Source organism: Homo sapiens, chromosome 1 (genome assembly GCF_000001405.40).
Source record: "Homo sapiens chromosome 1, GRCh38.p14 Primary Assembly".
NCBI classification, from domain to species: Eukaryota; Metazoa; Chordata; class Mammalia; order Primates; family Hominidae; genus Homo; species Homo sapiens.
The window spans coordinates 47,970,024-47,992,617 of NC_000001.11; the positions used below are offsets into that span (position 1 = coordinate 47,970,024).

General features: G+C 46.3%; 1 protein-coding gene across 10 annotated transcripts in view, besides 1 other annotated feature; it reads right to left on the reverse strand.

Moving 5' to 3' along the window:
- Positions 1-22,594, reverse strand: part of TRABD2B (TraB domain containing 2B) — a 236,858-nt gene that overhangs the window by 209,496 nt on the left and 4,768 nt on the right. The gene's annotated exons all lie outside the window — the stretch shown is intronic.
- Positions 7,441-7,610: an enhancer, noted in NCBI's record as "experimental_8247 CRE fragment used in MPRA reporter constructs". NCBI's record gives its function as "activates a minimal promoter by MPRAs in K562 erythroleukemia cells, with activity observed for both the introgressed and non-introgressed 1:48443221 variant alleles {active_cell/tissue: K562}" and the evidence as "EXISTENCE:reporter gene assay evidence [ECO:0000049][PMID:34662402]".

The following is a 22,594-nucleotide window of genomic DNA, read 5'->3' on the forward strand; positions in this document are numbered from 1 at the left end:
GCTCTATCCAGCCCTGACCCCACACTCAAGCACTTACTCATTTTAAGAGCTCAGCAAACATTGGTGAATGGATGAATGGGTAAACGGATGACTTATCAGAGACTCCTGTTTTCCAAGTCCTTGTTATCAAGTGCCTGGACAATTCTGTTACACATATATTCATTCAACAAATATGAATAAATATGGAGTACCTACTAGATAAGAGGCAGGGTGTCAGGCTCTGGAGTTCAGTGGGGGACAAAACACAGTAGCTTTTCAAAAGGTCTTTTGACTTTTAGTTCCCTCTCCATTTTAACCATTTTGCACTTATTTTCAAATTTACCCTTCTATAGCTGGGTTTGGATCTCACTCCTCCTGACTCAACAACTTTCAATGCCTCCCACTGCTTATTGGAAAATGGCCAGATTCCTTACACTGACATTTAAGACCTTCTAAGATCTAGCTGAAATCTATGTTCCCATTTTCATCTCCCATCCCTCATTCCCTCTTTCCCTCCATGACATAATTTACGGTCCTGCCCTTGCCTGAAATGCCCTTCTCATCTGTACTGGTCAGCTATTGCTGTGTTACAAACCACCCCAGGCCTCTGTGGCTTAAAGCAATAATCATTTATTTTCACTTGCACGTCTGTGGGTCAGCCGGGGGTTGGTTGATCTGAGTTGGACTTGGCTGGACTCAACCTATGTGTCTTGGGGGTGACTCTTCATTGTGGGTTGGACTCAGGTCTGCTGTGTGCATTCTGGGACCCAGGCTGAAGAGGCAGCAGCTACATGGAAGATTCCCTTCTCATGGTGATGGCAGAGGCACGAGAGGATGAGCTCAACTAAAGCAAGCACATCTAAGGCTCTGGTGGCGCATGTCTGCTAGCGTCTCACTGGCCAAAGCAAGTGACAAGACAGAGCCCAAAGTCAAGAAGCAAGAAGTACACTTAGCCCACCAGAAAGCCAAAGCAAGTGACATCGTCAAACTCTACATCACTGGAGGCTGGGGGAAGGAAGAGGCAGAGAGTGAATATGTTTGAACAATAATCTAATCTAACACACCATCTCTGCCTAATGAAATTTGATAGCACGGTAAAAGAAATCAGGCTTGGAAATGGAAGGCCTGGCTTGTATCATAGGTACACATCCTACTTTCTGAGAGACTTAGACACAGTATACTCCCCCAATACTTCATTCATTCAGTGCACATAAGCTAACAATCTACTATATATAGGAATATCATGCCAGACCCTGAGCCAGTTTTGTAAACCAAACAGACATGTCCCTGCTATCCTGGTGGTATGAATGTAGCTCTTAACCTTCTGAATGTCAGCTCTCTCAATACATGAGAAACCTTGCAATAAATGGGAAAACCCGTGGAAAGCCAGCCTTGGGTATAGTTATAAGTGGAGAAAGGCTTATCTCCTTGGAAATGATCTCTCTCGCCAATCTGAATTCTTAAAACAATTAATTACCAAACAGGTAAAGGCCCAACCAATCAATGAGAATTTATCCAGGTCTACCTTGTGCCAGGTAGGCCTGCCCAGCCCTAACTCCCTACACTCAGATACCACACCTTAACAGGAGGACAGGTGTGTTCTTCCTGCCTTCCCTGACAGCACGCAGCCTAATGCCACACCCACAATAGGTACTCAATATATGCTCCTGACCAAGACTCCAGAACCTCCTCAATTGCTTTTCTTACTCTTTCCTGGATACAGCCTCAAACAATGAGGTTTCCACCAAAGACTTCCCATTCACCCAGAAAGAAAAATTCAGTTAAAGCAATCTGGCCTTTTCTTTCCATTCCCACCACCCCTCCCACTCTCACCCCAGATGAAACCTCCCTAAGTGATTAAATGTTATAATAAGGATTTGACATATTTGCCTTATCAAAGATTGTGCTTTTGTGGTATCTCATGGAGCACAAACAGATGAAAGAGCCAACAGTGAGATGGACTATCAGCAGAGACCAACCAGGAAAGAAAACAGCAAAACCTCAAGATAAGTCCACAACCTCTAATCACACAAAGACAGGGCCAAGCATGCAACTAACTGAGACTTTCTGGCAAAAATAATGCTAATTAAGTAGTTATAAAAATTATTGTTATTATTAGCAGTATCATTATTATTACAATAAATTAAATACTGGCTAGAAATTCAAGTCTTTCTTCGGGATCTGGTTTCTTCCAGTTTTCTTGCACACAGGTTATATCCAGCAGTGGTCCCCCACTACCCATGGGAGCCACTGAATTCCTCATTCTGGCCTGAGAGTCCCTCCAGGCAGCAGTATCCACCTACTTTCCAATCATTCACTCATTCAACAACTAGTTTTTCAGCACTGTTATGTACTGAATGTTTGTGTCCCCTTAGCCTCCTGACTCAAATTCATGTGCTGAAATTCTAACCCACAATGTGATGGTATTAGGAGATGGGGCCTCTGGGAGGTAATAGGCCATGAGGGTGGCACCCTAGTGAATGGGATTAGCACCCTTATAAAAGAGACCCCAGAGAGCTCTCTAGCCCTCTTTCCACCACATGAGGACAAAACTGGAAAACGGCAGTCTTGCAATCTGAAAGAAGACCCTTACCAGAACCCGAACATGCTGGCTTCCTGACCTCAGACTTCCAGCCTCTAGAACTGTGAGAATTTTTTTTGTTTGTTTATAAGCCACTCAGTCTGGTACTTTGTTACAGCAGCCTGAGCTAAGACAAGCACCAATTTTTGACCCTCATGGTAGTCAAAGTCCATAAATTTACCTTTCCAATCCTTTCTCTCGCTAATTCTCTAACAGAAACCCCAAAGACATGGCCCACTCCCCTCAATGCCCTTCAGATCTACAGTCTGTGTCCATCTCCAGGGAGCCCTCCTGGATCCCTCCTAGTAAATGAGGCATCTCTAAGGACATGTGCTTTCTCTCTTGTGGGGACTGTACGTGCATGGTTGTGTACTCTTTACTGGACATGCCCCCACACACTTCATTCACCTTGTGTATGCCTTATCTACCCACCTAGACAGAGATCATGGCTCCTGTCTAAGACAGCATTACGCAATAGCTGGTGTTCAATAAATACTTGTTGACAGACTTTACTGTGGAAGTAATTCAACACAAACCAAGAGATGCTGATTTAGTGGCAGCTGGGATAGGAAAAAATAAATTGCTATGGGCTGGACACTAGGAAAGGCTAGAAGGTATACAGTTCAATGACAGGCACACAGGGCCTGGGCCAGCAGGGGGCAGCCCCCGCAGCCAGGTCTCTGGCAACTGGTGTGCACTTTACATCCAGGGTCCCCAGCCATGCACACTTGATATTTGCATCTCCTATTTCAATAGTATGGACTACTGGGGAGAAAGGGGGCATGGGAATCAAGAAACAGGGCATTATTCTAATCTCACCAGGTAGATGATGTAACCCGAAGATGCCACTAACAATGTTGCCAACAAACGAATTCCAGGAAGCTTCTCTAATGAACCACATAGTACTTGAAATTTTACAAGTACTGTGTGTATACTCGTACTTGCTCCTCCTCCAGCCTCCCCTAATTTCAGTGAATGGCACCACCATGGACCAAAATGTGCAAGTGCCACCCCAGATTCTTGAAATCTCCACAAGCAACCAACAGTCATGTCTCAGCTTCACCTCCAAAACAGAGCCACACCTACCTCACTCCTCCCCAGGTCAACCACTAGTGTCTCCCACCTGAACTATTCTAATAGCGTCCATGCTGGCCTCCCAGCTTTCTCTATTCTGTTCTCCAGGAAAGTCCATTTTGCATACCACAGGCAAAGCAATGTTACATTTAAAAATTTAATTAGGCCGGGGCCGGTGACTCACACCTATAATCCCAGCACTTTGGGATGCTGGGGTGGGCCAATAGCTTGAGCTCCGGAGTTCGAGACCAGCCTGGGCAAGATAGTGAGATCCCATCACTACAAAAAATACAAAAATTAGCTGGGTGCGGTGGAATGTGCCTGCAGTCTCAACTATTGGGGAGGCTGAGGTAGGAGGATAGCTTGAGCCTGGAAGGTCGAGGCTGCAGTGAGCCATGATCACACCACACCACTGCACTCTAGCCTAGGGAACAGAGTAAGATTCTGTCTGCATCTCCTCCAAAAAGTAAATTAGATCACCTTCTGCTTCAAACCAATGACTTCCACTGTTGGAATAAAATCCAAGTACTGTCCTATTACCTGTAGGCCAGGTGAGATCTCACCTCATCTCCTCTCTGCTCCATCTCCTGACATGCATGTCCTGTACATGCATGGCTCCAGTTACATCCTTTCTGTCCCTTAAGCAGCCTCAGGTCCTTGGCACGTGCTGTTCCTTCTACCCAAAATGTGCCTTCCCCAGGTGTTCATGGCTGGCTCCTCCTCATCCTTCTGGATTCAGCTCTTAAGGCACCTTCTCCCCAAACCCCAAGGACACCAAGCATCTGTCCCCATCCAAACCCCACCCACTTGCAGCCTGGTCCCTCTCTAGCCTACTGATTTTTGTTTTTCATTATACCCTTATCATGACCTAAAATTATTTATTAATTCATTGCTAAATCCTCACTGGAATAAAAGTTCCATGCAGGAAAAATAAATCTTTTATGTTTTGTTCACCACTACATTTTCAGCATCTGTACCAGTGCCCAGTGCAGACTGAGCCTTCAAAACGCACTTGTTAACGACAGAGCAGTTAACTCCCCACTTTTTAGGAATGGGTTGTTCACAGCAACTCCTTTCCAATGTGTGCAGTATGAAAAGATGGAGGGAAAAAAGGGTACCTCTATAGTGGAGAAACCTGACAAATACTACTTCATCCAGGTGATCAAGGTTAATATCAACAGTAATAAGTCATGTTGCTAGCATGTACCTTTGATATGATGTGAGGAGAATAGCACTTTGCCTCTGTGGCCTTCCTCCCCAAAACACACAATTCCACTCTAATTGTAAGAAAAACATCAGACAAATCCCTATGGAGGGACAGTGCTCTTCAAAACTGTCAAGGTCATCGAAAACAAGGAAAGTCTGAGAAACTGCCACAGCCAAGTGGATTCTAAGAAGGGATGATAAGTAAACGTGATACAGTACCCTGGATAAGATCCTGGATTAAAAAAATAACTTTAGGGGAAAACTGAGGAAATCTGAGTAACATATGGACTTTAGTTAATAATGATGTATCAGGTTCATTCATTATGACAAATGTACCACATTAACATAAGATGCTAATAACAGGGGAACTGGGTGTGGGGAGCTCTCTGTACTATCTTCTCAATAATTCTGTAAATCAAAAACTGTTCTAAAATTAAAAGTTTATTTAAAAAACATTTGTTAGGTGAATGAATGTGCAGTAATAAATGCTGCACATATATTTTCAGGTCTTTTTGTAAGCATTTACTGAGCACAGGGTTTAGCATGATACTAGAAAACAGACGAATTCCTGAAGTCTGTTAAGCACTGTCTGGGTCATACCATTTGCATCATTACTTTGTGCACCTGAAACATTGTAAAGGCAGACATTGGTTCACCCGAAACTGAACCATCAGTGGTTCTAAGTGAGGAAAGTTGGGGTCAATGACAAAAATAACAAATCTTGCCCTTTTTGAGGATGAATTCAGTTATCTCACTGTTCTCAAGTCCATTCAGCCACAAGCACTGCTGAGGGCCTACTGCACACCCAAGCCTGGGTTTGGCTTAACAGCCAGCTCTTGTCCTAGAGCGGCAAACACAAATCTGGCCAAACACAAGACTCTTCTAAGGGGTCAAATGAAGCAATACAAACTATAAATGGCAAATATGTTCAGAGAAAACTGATCATGGAAGTGGGGTAGTCAAAGAGGCCTTCCTGCAGGAAGGGCCAGGCTGGACCTGAAATAGGAAACAGGATTTGGAGTGACAAGAGGAAGGACAGAGGGCACCCCAGGGTAAGCACAGAGTCCAGAATTAACTGCAGATGGTAGTCTGAGTACAGCTGTGGGGTTCCCTAGAGGGGCAATGGAAAAGGAGGTTGGTAGCTGAGCTGGGGCCAGACCAGAAAAGACCTTCCAGACCTTCAAGGTCCCCTGCTTCATGTTCCTTTTCATGTGTCATTTGCATTCTTGTCCCATCTCTCCTACTCCACCTGTAAGCTTCCTGGGGGCAAGATCTTTTCCTGCCTAATTTCTGCCTGCTCTAAAAGGTCTTGCACTTAGTAATGGCCCAAAGGAATATCTGGTGAGTGAATAAAACAGAGAATTAATCAGTGAATTATAATCTAAGAAGCCAACCTTCTACCCCTTACACACTGGGAGGCCTGCAGGGTTTGTAGAAAAATCCAGGATCAAAATGACATTTCCTCCACTATCTCCCCAACCCCTTCCTTTGCTTGTTTTCATTCAGCATTTATCTCTCTCTGACTTCTTATTAATCATTTGTGTACTTTGCATACTTGTTTCTTATCTGTCACCTTCCAGGCATTCAACAATCATTAACTGATTACCTACTATGTGCTAGACATAGTAGGTGCTAAGAATACAGACGACACACAAATATTTCTACTCTCATGGAGCTAGCATTGTAGTGATGGGGTGAAGAGCAATACGTAAAATGTATAGAACGCAATTGATGACAGGTGCTATGGTAGAAAAGGGCAAGGAGAAAGGAAAGTAAATTCAAGGGAGTGATTTGCAATTTCAAATAGGGTGGTCAGGGGAAAACATCTTTGAGCACCTGAGGTAGATAGGGATGGAATTCTTTTCTTTTGCATACATGCTTGGTACATGAGCAGTACCTGGCATGCAGCAGGCACAGAAGAATGAATGAGTGTATGAACTGAGGGTGTTGGGAAGATTGATCCATTTTTTAAATTAAACTTTTAAGAGAATTGTAGATTCACATGCAGTTGTAAGAAATAATACCCTTTACCCAGTTTCCCCCAGTGGTAACACCTTACATAACTATAGTACAATATCAAAACCAGGGAATTGAGGTTGATAACAATCCACTGATGTGATTCAGGTTTCACCAGTTTTACATGCACTCAGTTATGTATATGTGTGGATGGTGTATTTAGCTTTATGCAATTTTAAGGTTTAGTCCTTTTTTTTTTTTTTTTTCCCGCGAGACAGAGTCTTGCTCTGTTGCTCAGGCTGGAGTGCAGTGGTGCGATCTTGGCTCACTGCAACCTCTGCCTCCCAGGTTCAAGTGATGCTTATGCCTCAGCCTCCTGAGTAGCTGGGACCACAGGTGCATGCCACCATGTCACCAGCTAATTTTTTAAATCTGTAGTAGATGGAGTTTCACCACACTGGCCAGGATGGTCTTGAACTCCTAGCCTCAAGTGATCCCCACTTTGGCTTCCCAAGGTTCTGGAATAACAGGTGTGAGCCACTGCGCCCAGCCAGGTTAGTCCATTTTTAATATGTGAGTTAGAAGGCCACTTGAAGGGTGTAGGGCTGAAGGAGAGTGGGACAAAGTAAACCACCAGCCACTAGGCACGCTGTTCATTTTCACATGCCTGAGCTCCATTTACCCGAGCAATCATCCTAAGAAGATAGGTATTCTTATCTCCATTTTATATACGTGAAGACTGAGGCACTCAGAGAAGGAATCTGTTGGAAGTCACAGCAGGCAGAAAAATCAGAACCCCAAATCTCTGACTGTCTAGCTACTTCCTGGGACTCTTTCTTGAGCACAAGAATGGCCGGGATGAAAAAAAAAAAAAAACACACAGGAATAAGGAACCAAGAGGAAGGACAGGCTCCAGGAGACATTGGAGGAGAGAGGAAATGAGGGGGAATTGAAAAGTATGCCTCTGGATTCTGAGTTAGGGAGAACAGAAGTATCATCACAGGAAGAGGAAATGAAGAGCTGGAGGGCTCTAAAGGAGAAGAAAAGGGAGATGTCCTGGTTCAGCCCTGATTTCATGTGTGATCTTGGGTGAGTCAATTTACATCTCTGGGTTTCATGTTCCTCATCCATACAAGGGTGGGAATGGCCACCCCATTCCATCCATCTGGTATGCTCTAAATGTCCATAATATGTTCCCATTCACAAAATTCTCCCCCAAATTTGTGTCCCTCCCCAACCCCCAAATTTATACGTTGAAACCTAATCCCCAATGTGACGGTATTAGGAAGTGGGGATTTGGGGAGGTCATTAGGTCTTGAGAGCGGAGCCCACATGAATAGTATTAGTGCATTTATAAGGGACTGAAGGGGCCATAGTTCTCCCCTTCTGCCATGTAAATACACAGAGACATGGCACCATCCGTGAACCAGAAAGCTGTTCCTCACCAGACACTGAATCTACTAGTGTCTTGATCTTGGACTTCCTGGCCCCCAGAACTGTGAGAAATAGATTTCCGTTGTTAATAAGCAAACTAGCTTATGGTATTTCGTTATAGCAACATGAACAGACTAAGACAACTATCCAGGACTGCTCTAAGGCCAAGGAGCGATGATGGGGCAGCCCTCTGCAAAGCAAGGTGCGAGGCCAACTGCCAAAACCGGAAACAAGGCAACCCAGCACAGGCCCAGACTGCCTGTGGTATCCCGACCCGAATGACTGGCTGGCATTCCCAAAGATGAAAATGCAGAATTTAGGTCAGCACACACAGAGAATCTCACTTTGTTTACATGAGACAGAGAGTGTGTGTTCCTACGAAATGCCTTTGAATCCCAGCGATGATGAGAGACCCAAGGCTGTTTATGGCTTTGGATATTTACTTTTCTCATAAACAAATCAGCTTGGGTGCCGTCAGAGCTGACGCCACTTCACACTGCGGCCCTCTGACGTCCTCGCTCCTCCCCGGTGCCCCACACATGGTTTGAATTTATTGGTTTTAGCAGCTTTCATTTATATTGTGTGAGGATCACGGAATGACCAGCAAACAGAAGCTCTGATCCGTGCTCTGGGAAAAACACAGAAGCACGAAGAAGGAGGTTGTGGGGAAGAGCTGGGAAGTTTCCTCCAGTCCAAGGAGAAGCAGCTCCCACCCACAGGGTGGTCCAGTCAAAGCCCTTAGGGCCCCTTTGGAAATGGAGGATCAGGGGGATGCTACAGCCGCACCAGGAGTCGGTCAGAGCACGAGGCTGAGAAGGCTCTCAGTGGTCACGGCCTCCCAAAGCCAAAGCACCCAAGGACTGCCGTGGGAAGTGGAGGTGGCTGCTGAGGTACTTGGCCTCCTGGAACCAAACATCTAGAAATGTGGGAACAATGCGGGAAGGGGGCTTCCTGTTTTCTACCAGGATACTCAGGCGATGATGTGTAGACATGGTCAATAATTTTACAGCTACACACAGGGTCCCTGCATGTGTACTCAAAGCCAGGTGTCAGGGAAACCCAGATTCATTCTACGAGGTTCCTTCCCACAAAGAACTTCAGTTTAATGAAGGAGACAGACATGTGAACATATAAAAGACAATAACATTTAAAATGCCACTTTCCAGTGAGGTCAGAGCCAGCTTAGAAAGTGGCTTTGCAGCAGCAGGGGTATGGTTTATGGTTTACCAACCAATCTCACACCCACCAAGGGGGCTGAGCGAGGGGAGGGACTTGCTCTGGTCATGCTGTGGGACTCCCAACCCAGTGCTCTATTCACCGACCAAGGATCCTCCCATCCCCCACTTCTGCTGGGGCTGGGGCGAACATCAGGAATCGCCTGCCTTACCCCGCCCCCACTTTGAACAGGTGGAATCCCACAAATAAATCACATAAAATAAGTGACACAAAATGCAGGAAATGTTATCCTCCAGCAACGACGTTAGAAATGGTGGTCAAGGTCTCAGGCTCCCTCACAAAAGGCCCTGTAATGTATAACTACTCTGGTCTCATTCAGTCACCAGATCGCTTTCACCACCTTGTTTCTAAAGGAAACCCAGTCCTGAGTTCCTGTCCCAGAAGCTGGGAACCCTTCTGCTCTGGCTCAAGCAAGAGGGTTGGGAAGGTACAGACAAGCCTGGGTGAGGTGTTCCAGTTTAGCCAACAAAGGAATGAGTGGGTGGGCCAATTATTAACCAGAAGGAATTCTGAAATGCAGAACATGAGAGTGAGGGTCAGTGGCCCCCCAGTGCACCCAGGATGAAGCCCAAACTTCTTAATATGGTCCTAAGGCCTCCATCATGTGACCCCTATGTGCTTCTATAGTCAATTGCCTAGTCTCCCCATGCTTCCCACTAGTGTTCTCCACATGTGAGTGTTATGAGTAACTATATTCCTTCAATCCGGATCAATATCACCATCAGCACCCACCCCCATAACATGGTGCCACTCCTGAACCCAGGACATGCCCACTTGTCCTTCAATACAGCTCAAGTGGTATCACACTAAAGCCAAACCAGGTACTCACAAGGAGGTGAGGCCAGTCTATTGTATACAATTGAGTATATGCAACAGCAAAGAGAACTAACTCCTAGACAGCAAGAATACAGGCTCATCCATTTGGTAGCATCCATAGGACCCTCCAGATCACCTGAGCTCTGCAAAGCCCCAGCTGCCATGGGGGTGGGGGACTCAGGGTCAGCACTCAACAGTACACTAACACAGTAGATTGAATGACAGGTGGGAAGCGACATTCTGTCCAGCTACTGAGGCAAATTGAACAGAGATTCCTCTAGGCTGGGGGTGGCCCTCCATCACATTTCCCCTTTCCCTGCCCTACACTAGAAAGCTCTGCAGAGAAGCATCCCAGCCATCTAGACTGGTGGCATTACAAATTTGGCACCTGTACGTCTGTTGGGCCCCTCAGCCTGCCCTGCCATCGCTTCAACTGCCAAGGTCAGCTTCTGCTCTGAATGCCCACCACAGACTTTCTCCTCACACTCCCTCCTCATTCTATCTCCTAGAAAATGGACTATCTCACTCTCTGCTTCCCAGGGCCACAGCCTTCCTCAAGAGGGACCCTCAGAAGTCTCTCAGCTCCTTGTCCCTGTCACCTCCTGGCCTCTTACCTTTCATCACATCTCCAGTTTCAGAAGGGCTGTCGCCTCTACTCTCAGATTCCAGCTCCACCTCCTCTGGGTCACATTCCCTCTTTTCTTTTTTCTTTTCTTTTTTTTTGACAGAGTCTTGCTCTGTCGCCCAGGCTGGAGTAGAGTGGCACGATCTTGGCTCACTGCAACCTCTGCCTCCAGGGTTCAGTTCAAGCAATTCTCGTACCTCAGCCTCCCAAGTAGCTGAGATAATAGGCGTGCATCACCAAGCCTGGCTAATTTCTCTACTTTTAGTAGAGACAGGGTTTCACCATGTTGACCAGATTGGTTTCGAACTCCTGGCTTCAAGTGATCCACCCACCTCGGCCTCCCAAAGTGCTAAGATTACAGGCATAAGCCACTGCACCCGGCCACATTCTCTCTTTTCCTTAGATGCAGATAAGTCAAGAGAACAGGGGTCTGCAGCCAGAGTTTCTGTGTTTAAACTCCAGATCCTCCACTCATTAGCTGTGTGACCCCAGGCAAGTGAATTACCGCTCTGTGACTCAGTTTCCTCACCTGTAAAATGCGGCTGAATCTACTTGAGAGACTGCCATGAGGATTAAGTGGGGCAGTGCACATAAAGGGCTCAGAATCATTCCTGGCACTCTGCAGTGAGGCACCTCTCTCTCAGGTCTCTTCAACCCCACCCCCTTCCCCACTAGCCCCATATACCTCTCTGAACCCTCAGGATCTGGAACTGAGCCTGGCACAATGTAGTTCCCAGCAGTGCTTTTCAAAGAAATGAACAAATAAATGAATGAACAGTTTAATAATAACTAATTCAATTAATTATTTATGGGGAATTTCACTTTGGGAGAAAAGAGGAAAAACACATGCACCTCTAGCACTACTGAGAGCATAGAGCACCTGATGGCTGATAAAGGCCTTCTCAGACTTGATCCCACTGGATTCTCCCAAGAGCTGTAAGCTGTTGCTAGGTAACATCCAACCTGTCTGAGCAGTAGAGGAAAAGGATGCTGAGAGGCAGGAACCCCAGGTCACAGATCTAACCCAGGGCAGAGCTGGGCCTCAAGCTGGGGACTCCAGCCTAAACCTTTCACTCCCTCCTTTTGGTGTGTCCCAACTCCAGAGAGTAGTGGGAGACCACAGTGAAGGCAAGCCAGAATGAATACAGTCAGACATTACACACTGCAGATGGTCAGAAAAATAAATGGCCATGCTCTGGGTGGTCCAACCACATAGTTCCCATCAGACCAACCAACAACCCATCCCTGCACTGGATGATGCTCAGTGTGTGAGAGACCAAAGGACCAAGAGCCATCTTTTGTACAGAATGGGCTTCACTTCAAGACAGACATTGTGAAAATGGGCCAATAATAATAATGAAAATGACCATTACTTAAGCCACCACAGTTAACATTCATTAACTCTTACTGTGTGCCAGCCACTCAGCTGTGTGGTTTATATGCATTATCTCATTTATGCCTCACAACAACCCCAGGAGGTAAATACTGTTGTGAGCACCATTTTTTCAGATATGGAAACAGATGTTCAGCCATCTAGCCAAAGTGGAGGAGCTGGATTTCCAACTCCAGTCCAGTTTCTTCCTTAAGGTATCAAAAGATCCAAGTAGAAATCCTGGCTCCATCATTTTGAACAAAGTACTTAGCCTCAGTGTCCTCAAAATGAGGGAAAAATGCTTACCTTTCAGGATTGTTTTAGAAATTTACTGTGATAAACCAGAGGCCTAGCATATAACAGGCACCAAATAGCAATGGCTCTCTTAGGGGCTGGATAGGAAACAGGAAGAATAAAGCCAGTGGAGGGAGTGTAGAAAGGCTTGTTCTGCATTCCCTCTGCATTTTCCCATCCTGGCACTTCCGTGTAAGTCTGCTTCCTTTCCACCTCATCTCCAGGGGCCCAAATCCTATCCCACCTGCAAGGTGTCTCTCAAAGCCACCTCCATCAAAAAGCCTCCCCACAAAACTACTGATGGAAGCAGAATATTAAATTACCTCCAAGACCACCAGCAGGCCTCACCATGCGGGTTCTGTAGTGGTGGGTCAACAAACATCACTGTCTATACCCAGAGGACTATAAATCATTCTACCATAGAGACACAGGTTTGCTAATGTTCACTGCAGCACTATTCACAATAGCAAAGACATGGAATCAACCTAAATGCCCATCCACAGATTGGATAAAGAAAATGTGGTACATACATGCCATGGAATACTAGGCAGCCATAAAAAAGAATGAGATCATGTCTTTTGTGGGAACACGGATGGAGCTAGAAGCTATTACCCTCAGCAAACTAACACAGGGACAGAAAACCAAATACTGCATGTTCTCACTTCCAAGTGGGAGCTAAATGACAAGAACTCAGGAACACAAAGAAGGGAGCAACAGACACTGGGGTCTACCTGAGCGTGGAGGTTAGGAGGAAGGAGAGAAGCAGAAAAGCTAACTACTGGGTACCGGGCTTAATACCTGGGTGATGAAATAATCTGTACAAAAAACCCTCTGTGACAGTAGTTTACATACGTAACAAACCTGCACATGTACCCCTGAACCTAAAAGTTTAAAAAAAAAATGACAGTCAAGGTCAAGCACAATGACCAAGCATTGTTATCACCGAAGTCCCCAAGTGGCTCAGTTTACCCATCCTGTGACCAATCCACAGCTCTTCCAGCTGCAACTCGGCCCCAATACAGGGTCTGGTTCTCAAAAATGTACTATAATCCAGTGGATGCTGGAGCCACCCAGCTGGATATCTGGGGGTCCCAACGCCTGGCACTCTGAAGCAAATCCAGTTCCCTTTCTGAGCTCAGTAACCACACTGGCAAAAAAAGAAAAAAAAAAAAAAAAAGAGGAGCCAGGAACAGACTAACACTAGAAGTGTCCTTGTTGGGGACGGGAGGGAACGCGGTCGTGCATGTGAAAAGCCTCTGGAAATTGCAAACCGCGATGCAAATGGTTGAAATTATCATTGCCAATTAGGCTTTTGTCTCTTTTCAGACTCAAGGCCAAGCAGCTCAAGAAAGGGAAACCGTGTGAACTAAAGCTAAAAGATGAGCCAGAGAGATTTCCAAATGGCTTTCTCCGCTGATATCATTCTAAAAGGGGCTGTCGAATGGGACCCCAGGCTTAAATTACTAACGGCCATGAAGGCGCATTAAGTCCCCAGGAGATAACACTGGCCAGGAAACTTTAAATAACCTTAATAGGGAGGAAGGAGGCAAATCCTTTAAACAGAAGACAAGGAGGGGAAGGCCTGTCCTTTTATCTTTGCACCGTGGCTGCCCGGGCAGGGCTGGCCGCGCGCCGCGCCGCCTCCTCCACCGCAGGAACGCCTCGCCCCGAGGTGCCTGTCCGCAGGGCTCCGCCTGTGTCGCTGCCTGATCGAGTGACGGGCGAGGACATACACACTGCGGCCCCCAAGGCGCAGCCGCCCAACCGCTGCTCTTTTAGGAAACGTGCACTTGCGCTCGCGGAGGCCAGGCCAGAGAGGCGGCGCGGCTCGGGCCAAACGCGTCATGCACAGAGCGCTCGCCTCTGCGCCAGGGCGTGAAATGGGCACAGTCATGCAAGCCTCCCGGGGGAGCGCCAAGGTGAACTGGAGGTGGAGGGACACCAGCAGGCGGCTTTATGCAGCATGGTCTCTCTCTAGTAGCAGTCCATGCAGAGAGCGGCCAAGCTGAACTGCTCTCGGCCCTCAAATGCACAACTCGCGCCCCGTCCTCTAGCGTAGGTGCCTCCAATCTCCTGAGCCTAGTACTCCCTAGGCTTTACCTGGCTTTTTTACTCCCTCCGATCTCAGGTTCACCTGGGCTTCTTCCAGGAAGCCTTCCTGGATCTCCTCAGGGCCAAGGAAGCTGTGCCTCTTCTGTACTCCCACAACACACCACAAGACAAGCCACAGCCTCCCTCCTCCCAACACCTGCACGGATGCTGTGTCCCCTACCAAGAAAGGAAGCACCTGGGCAACAGCAACGTTCTTCTCGCTCACTACGTCCAGCACTTATCCCATGTCTGGCACTCAGTAGGAACTAACAAACATTTCTTGAAAAGTTGTATAACGATAATTTGAAAATGAAGTAATAACTATGAGCTAGTATGTACTGAGCATTTGTGTGTGTGGCACTGTGCTGTAGTGCTTTACATTAATCAATTAATCCTCACAGCAATCCTATACAGTTGACATGAGAAAACTGACGCACAGACAGCTTATGTAACTACCCCAAGGTTACTTACACTCCCGATAAGTGCACTTATTCTGGGAACTGAAGGAGCACTGGGCCATCCGGCCAATGTCTGGAAGTTTTCCAGTGGAGGGGACTCCTGAGCTGAGTCTGCACTATGACGTGTAAACTTAAAGACTGACTTTTGGTTCTGAAGGTAGAATCAGACCAGGATGTTCCTCTGAATAAGGGAGGTGGGAAGGAGCTTAATGTCTCCTCCTGCCCTTCCTGAGTCAATGGGAAGTAAAGGGAGAATCCCAAGAATGAAGGTGACAGAGTGTCAGCATTCAGGGCAGGGGTGGTGGTCAGGTGCTGTTTGGAAAAGCCCAGGTTCTCCCAAGGAAACCACCTTGTCTAAGTCCTTCGGAAGGAACACAGAATCCAGCAACAGGTGCAAAGGCAGAGACCACACATCTCTTAAGGCCCTAGGTTGTCCCTCAGAGATGGCCCCAGGGCCCTGACTTTTATAGGCATGGTCTGATGACCTCATGGCTCTTTTCCAGTAAAGCCAGGCATTCAGTGTGGCCCAAGTACAATTTACCTACCAGTTCTTTCAAAAAACAATGCTAAAAGCCAATTACATTGTTGCACCTAAACTCAAACTACTGAGTTATGATTACATGGCATCCATCCAATCTGATGACCATGGATAAAAGTCTTGCTGTAAAGTGACATTTGTTTGACGAGCCCAAGCTTTTAACATGGATGGTCCTCAGGGGCCTTTACCAATTCAAAGGAGTAAGAGTTAGCCAGAAAATAAAAACTGGGAAGGGGCTCCCAGGTAGAGGGAACAACATGAGCAAATGCATGGAGGCATAACTAAGGAGTATATGTGAGAGGGAGGGAGGGAGATATCATACAGCTCAGCAACCCTGGTGCTCCAAAACCAAGATAGCAAGCAAAGAATAAAAAGCATTTTAACATGAAAATAAGTGGAGGGATGCTGTGAGCCTGGAGAAGATCATGTGTGCTCTGGATAGTGAAGAGGAGAAAAACAGAGACTTGTTTGCAAGTAACAGTTGAAAAGGAAGGAAAAAAACCCAAAATATCCCAGGATGGAGATTAATGAATCCAACAGGGACCCATGAATGTTACAAAGTTTTGACCAAATGGGCCAGCAACAGTACTGAATATGTCTCAGGTGGAAAGCCTAAGAAGTTTCTGAGAATTAGAGAGGCCAAGACATAGTCCCTTTTTAGCATCCAGAGCTGCCAACACTCCAACCACAGAATATACCACAAAGCCCCAACTTCAGAACTGGAGAACATTCAATCTAATTTTGTAATCAATTGTGAGCACATTTTGAGCTAGGTTTGAATCAGAAGAGAAAAGACTGCCTGAGAAAAAAGTATAAACAAAATATATAAGTGCTGAAAGAATGTCGTAAAATGCCATAAATAATTCCACAGAGGGGAAAAATATATGTGGCTGGGTCATTAAGTAAAGCTTTGGCCCAAGTCTTTCTGAGCAGATTAGACCTGGGAACATTCTAGGAAGACTTCCTGGAGGAGGTACAGCTTTAAGCTGAGCCTTGAAAAATCTCAGGATTCAGAAATAGAATAGAAAAGGAGGAAATTCCTAAAGAGGGAGGGGGCCTAGCAGAAGCAACGGCGTTTCCAAGCTTGGGGCAACAGTTTTGTGTTCCAGCGGATATAGTGCACAGATTTAAAAGCCTGTGGATCCTGGAGGAGCTGCTCGGCGAGACGGCTTGGCAGCCGCTGAACAGAACTGAAGGCTCGGCCACCGGCTGCCTGTGGATTAAGTGGGCGGACAGAGAGCCAGTGATGGGAGATAAAAGGGAGTGAAGTGGATAATATTTAGAAGCAAACTCAAGGGGAAAAGAGCGTCAGCAGCCCGGCTGGCAGGCTGTGGCGCTCACGCCGGCATTCTTGTTTCCTCCCTAGGAAAGCTGCATTACCAGGCGACCTCTTCTTGGCTTTGAGAGACGTCCAAATGGGAACTATTAACAAAGGCACGCTCCCATTTTTATCTCCGTCAGAAAGTGCTTTGCCGGTCAGGTTTTCTCTGCTTGGCCTGGGATTGGAGAGCGGGTTGGGGGAAGATCAGACAATATGTTTGCGGATGAGGGTTCTTGGAATTCTTGAGAGCTGGCCCCTTCCAACTCTAAGATTTTAGAAGTCTGTGTCCATGAGCTGACAATTCTTCAAAGCTAAGAGGCTAGGATTTCATGAAGTGAAGATTCTTTGAGTCCCTAAATGTCTCTGAGCCTAATGTTCTGAGATTTCACCATTCCTAGATTCTTTGAGCCTCAGAGTTTGGATTTATGGTTGGAGATTCTCTGAGCCTAGAAGTCTTCTTGCTGTGAACTTCCAATTCTGAGACTAGAATATCTCATGACATTTTGGTCACCTCCAGCTTTAGGACCTCACTCTCCTCTGATGGAGGTGCATAAGCTATCCTGTGCTCCTGCTTCTGTGTGTGTTATCCCCCTACATTTAGATAATATATTAAATATTAAGACACGAATGAACCAGGTCATGGAGAGGGGATGGACAGAGCTCGCCATGCCTGCAGGGGTTCTTCACAAACAGCCCTCTGGGCACAGAAATAATCTGAGTGAGCACATGCCCAGGGGTCCCTGCTAGGGGACACCCGGTGATGGACATTTGCTGAGCAGCTCCTTACCAGATGGCTCTGTGGGGGAGACACAGCGGGTGTGGCAGACTGCCGAAGCACAAGGTGAAGGTCGCGCCAGAAGAAGCCTGTTTCTCAGTCCAGGTTCTGGAGGTATATGGTATAGGCGATGCCAGCCTGTGTTTAATTCCACGGTGATGGAGGGGCTCTCCCTCCATGGTTGACTTCCTGGGAGAAAAGGCTTCGGCACGGTCTGAGGTCCTCCAGGGGTGTCTGGGGCCTCGGGGAAGGCTTGCTCCCTCTACTCTAAGGAGCGCACATAGATCTGACAAGAGATCTGACAAGGTATAACACTGTGGGCTCCAGGGCTGCCACAGAGGCCCAGAGAGGGCTGGAGGACTCAAGGATGGCCATTCTTGGAGGACAGGAAATTAGAGAATGGTTCTGAAAGGTGGGAGCATACAACCAAAAGGGGAAGAAAGAACAGGGTCTCTATCTGAAGTGTGGAGAACCAGGGCACAGGAGAGACTAATATTCAGGTGCTCTGTGCCTCAGTTTCCATGCTGCAAACAGGACTAATAATACCCACCTCTCAGGGCATAAAAGCAATGGGGTGCACACTCAGGTAATGAATTCTCGGCAGGCAAAGACACATTTCGAAGTCTCTTCCCAGACCCTTCACTGGCACAACACAGTGAGGTGCTCTGGTTGAATGAGTGAGGAGCAACAGAGGGAGAAGAGTCACAATGAAGGAGAGCAGCTGAGGCTGGGTGGGTGTCCAGCAGCCTGTGCCGTGACAGGCTGGGGCTCTCCTGTCTGAAGCCTGGCAGCAGGATCACCCACTGGAACCAACAGGCTCTGGACAAATAGGTATCAGCAGCAACTGCCAAAGACAAGCCTGCCAGCCCCTCCCAACTACAGATAACTCAGGCTCAAAATTTCAGACTTGGTTGGCCTAGGCTCTCCAAAATATGGGAGATACGCATCACAGAAGTCAGACCTGGGCCAACACTGGAAATCACCTAGCCCAGCGCTCTCATGGGACAAAGGGGGGCAAATTAGGCCTAGAAAGGGAAAAGGGCTGGCCCAAAGTCACAGGCAAGGTACTAACAGGATCAGGATTAGAACCTGCTTTGAATACGACCTGCCTATGCTGTGGTCCAAATGTATGTGTCCCTCCAAAATTCGTATGTTGAAACCTAACCACCAAGGTGATGATATGAAGAGGTGGAACTTCTGGGAGTAGATTAGTTCATGAGGTCTGTACACTCACGAATGGGATAAGGACCCTTACAAAAGAAGCTAGAGGAAGCTTGTTCACCCTTTCCACCATGTAAATACACAGAAGGCATCACCTATGAGAAACAGGCCCTCACCAGACACAAAATCCGCTGGTACCTTGATCTTGAACTTCCCAGCCTCCAGAACTGTGAGCCATAATTTCTGTTGTTTATAAATTACCCACTGTAAGGTATTTTGCTGTAGCAGCCTACATGATAATTTTGACATTTTTTGTCCTTATAGGATGGAAAGGAGCTTTCAAAGTTCAGAAGGGGGCTCCTTGCTGTGATTTATACTTTTCTTCATCGTTCATTCCTTCAATGATGCTGCATGGTGGAACGGAATCAGGGATGGTCACATCATGATTTTTGACCATTTGCTCATTAATCCATTCATGCTCCCAATAGTTACTCAGCACTTACTAATACTTGCTGGCCCCGCCAGGGTGTAGACATAGGAGCTCTGACTATAAACCAAGGAGATCTTTATTCAACTGTGCAGGCTTAGCCTATATTGGGGGGTGTGTGTGTGTATGTCTTCACAGCAGTGGCTTAGAAAGTTTGGGACATATTCCCTGGGAGTAGCTGATGCCCAGAATGTCTTTGAGAACTCCTATTTTAGAATCACCTTGAGATCCAATTTATAAGTCAAGGAGAAAATCAGTTCCAGCACTTTTCAATTCTCTCTCTCTCTTTTTCGGCAAGAAATGATGGTCTACCACCATTCCAACACACACACACACACACACACACAAACACACACACACACAATTCAGCAGAAATGTCATCTAATAAAAACCAGGTCATCTTTCAGACACTGGGAAAGCAGGGGTTGTGGTAATGGACTCACCTGAGTTTGAACACTGAGTCTACTTGGCCTGTCTGTGTAATCACAGCCAAATGACTTCACCTTTTCAGATCTCAATTTATGGTCTTGAAAATAAATACGATAATAAATCTTGTTGCATCTCTGTGAGGGTTAGAGATAATGTAATTATGAGGTCTAATGCAGCACCCTGCATAGAGACAAAACTCAATAAATGGTATTGTGGTTTCTAACTCCTCAAGTGAGGGACTTGTAGAATTTTACAAACATTTTGCACACCTTTGGCAGGCACGGTTCTGTGTTCAGGCGCTACACATATTAGATGGGTAATGCTCACATGCTTGGTAAAGTACAGAATAGCAGAGTCCTTGTTTTCTTATTATACCTCACAGAACCATGTAACTTTGAGGTCTCATCCAGTGTCTCCGACTCTGCCATGCAGGGAGTTGAAGGGGAGGACTCAGGTCCCCTAGAGGGAGAAGTAGTGGCAGCCGGTACCAGTCCCTGGTGGCAGCAGGCAGAGCTGATAGAAATCTGCAGGTCTCAAGCTTGTCATAAGATCTGGACTCAAGACTTAGGCATCCTTGGGCCCCCAAGGGCAGGGGCTCACCGCCTCCTAATACTCCAACGTTCAACAAGGGATGACGAGTGGATATGGCTGCTGGGAGAAGGGAGTGGCAACTTCCCATGCAGCCTTCCTCTTTCCCTGCCCTGGAGCCAGCCTAGACTGTTTGCCAAGCACAAAACCAACATCCAAGTAGTCATTTTAACCCATCAACAACCTCCCACAGGTAGTATCTTCTCATGTCCCCACAAAAACCAGCTCAACTTTGAAAGACTGGTAATTGCTGCCCCATTGGATGGATGGGCATACCAAGTCTTGCCCAAGATTATATACAAGTTGTTGGTTTTAAAACGTTGGTTTTATATATATATATATATATATATATATATATATATATATATATATATATATATATATATATATAAAACGTTGGTTTTAGTGTTGAGGCTGGGACTGACACCTGGAAGCAAGTCTCCTATCTCCAGCCCACTGTGCTGAGCTGTCTACAATACAACAAGAAAACCTTCAGAGACCTGCCTCACCACCAGCCTCATAGCCGAAGGAAATATCTCTACAAGTATAAATTTTCCAAGAAAGACAATTTTAAGCCCTCAAGTCCTAAAGGGGAGAGAGAAACAGAAGAAAGAACTAAGGAATGATTACAGAAGATATCAAATACCTAGACAGGAGGAAGTCTAGAGAAACAGTGTGGGGAAGCTGGGAGAACACATCCTTCATACAGAGTCAGGCTGACTGGCTCTGTTCCTTATTAGCCACGTGACCTTGGGCAAGTCATTCAACATTTCTGGATGCCCACCTTAGAAAGCCATAGGGTTGTTATGAGAATTCAATGCAGTGGAAAAGCGTGTGGAGCCTCCTGCAGGGTGCCTGGCACGTGGAATTGATTAGAATCATCCTATGGAATGTCAGGGCTAGAAGGAGCTTGAATGATGACCTCATCTCAGTGTCTTATTTCACAGACCAAGAAAACAGGGCCCAGAGAGAGGAAGTGACTTGCCCAAGGTCACATAGCAAAGTCACGGTGATGTTGGGTCTAGCACCCTCAGTTTATTTTGAAATCAAAGACCAAAACCTAACAATAGACCTGATCTTCCAAGCTGCGCAAGGGTGGAAGAAGCTTTTTCCAGGGTTCCAAAACTTAAGCTTTCTTTCTCCATTTAACAAGCAAAATTATGGTTATTTCTGTCCAGAAAAAAATACAAAAATTTTAAAAACAACATTAATACTAAAATCCCAGATCTTAACAAAAAGACACTGTTTTAAGCCTTATTTTTCCCGCCTTCTTCTCTCACTGTCTCCCCAACCCAAATATTTTGCAATAACAGTAATGCTGCGAGGAAAGAAAAAATAAAAATCTGATGCACTTAACAGATATTTCAGTGCACTAATGCATCACAGATGTTCATATCAAACTGTGCACGCGTGCATGTAATTTTACTGAGAAGGCTGTTGCATTTCTGATTTTGAATTTTTGGATCCCTAATGACCTCATCTGCCTAGGCTCCAGAATCCCACCCTTCCCATTTAGTCCAAGGCTGCCCAAGGGGATGGAGGAGAGATTTCATCGCCTCCCTACAAAATGATAACAGGACAAATTGGCATGATTGGACACTCTGGCAGGTGGTGAAGGGTATGGAGATTAGGGAACTAAGAGGAGTTCTGTTTTCTTTTGTTTGGGACTTGCTTTCTGCAGCTCTTTTGAGGAGCTGGACCAAAGAACAATTTTAAGAGTGGGCCCAGGCTGGTGATGGGTTGGGCACATTTTTGAAATAGAATTGGAGTCTGTTTGATCTTCAAACATGAGCTTTGGAGACTGTCAGCAGGCTCCCTCCCGGCCGATGAATGGCTCTCAGTAACTTTTCCTAAAACATAACCTCACACACACTTTCCAGCAAATGTTTTCACCCTACCAAAGCCATCATTTGGTTGAACAGGAGTGTCTCCCGACCCCAAAGAAAGATAGTTTTGTTGTTTTAAGAGAGACGGATTAAAGACAGGGGCTGCTTAGCCAGAGTTTGTGTGTGCTCCCTTCAGCCTTTGTCGGATTCCTCTGTGGTTGGTGCAAAGAGAGTGTTGAGAGTGATGGTGGATACCTCACCTCCCCATCCTAAAAAAGATATCGAGGCCAGACCTAGGCCTCTGAACAGAGAGGCCTCCCACAAACCTGCCTCCGAAATGAGATGGG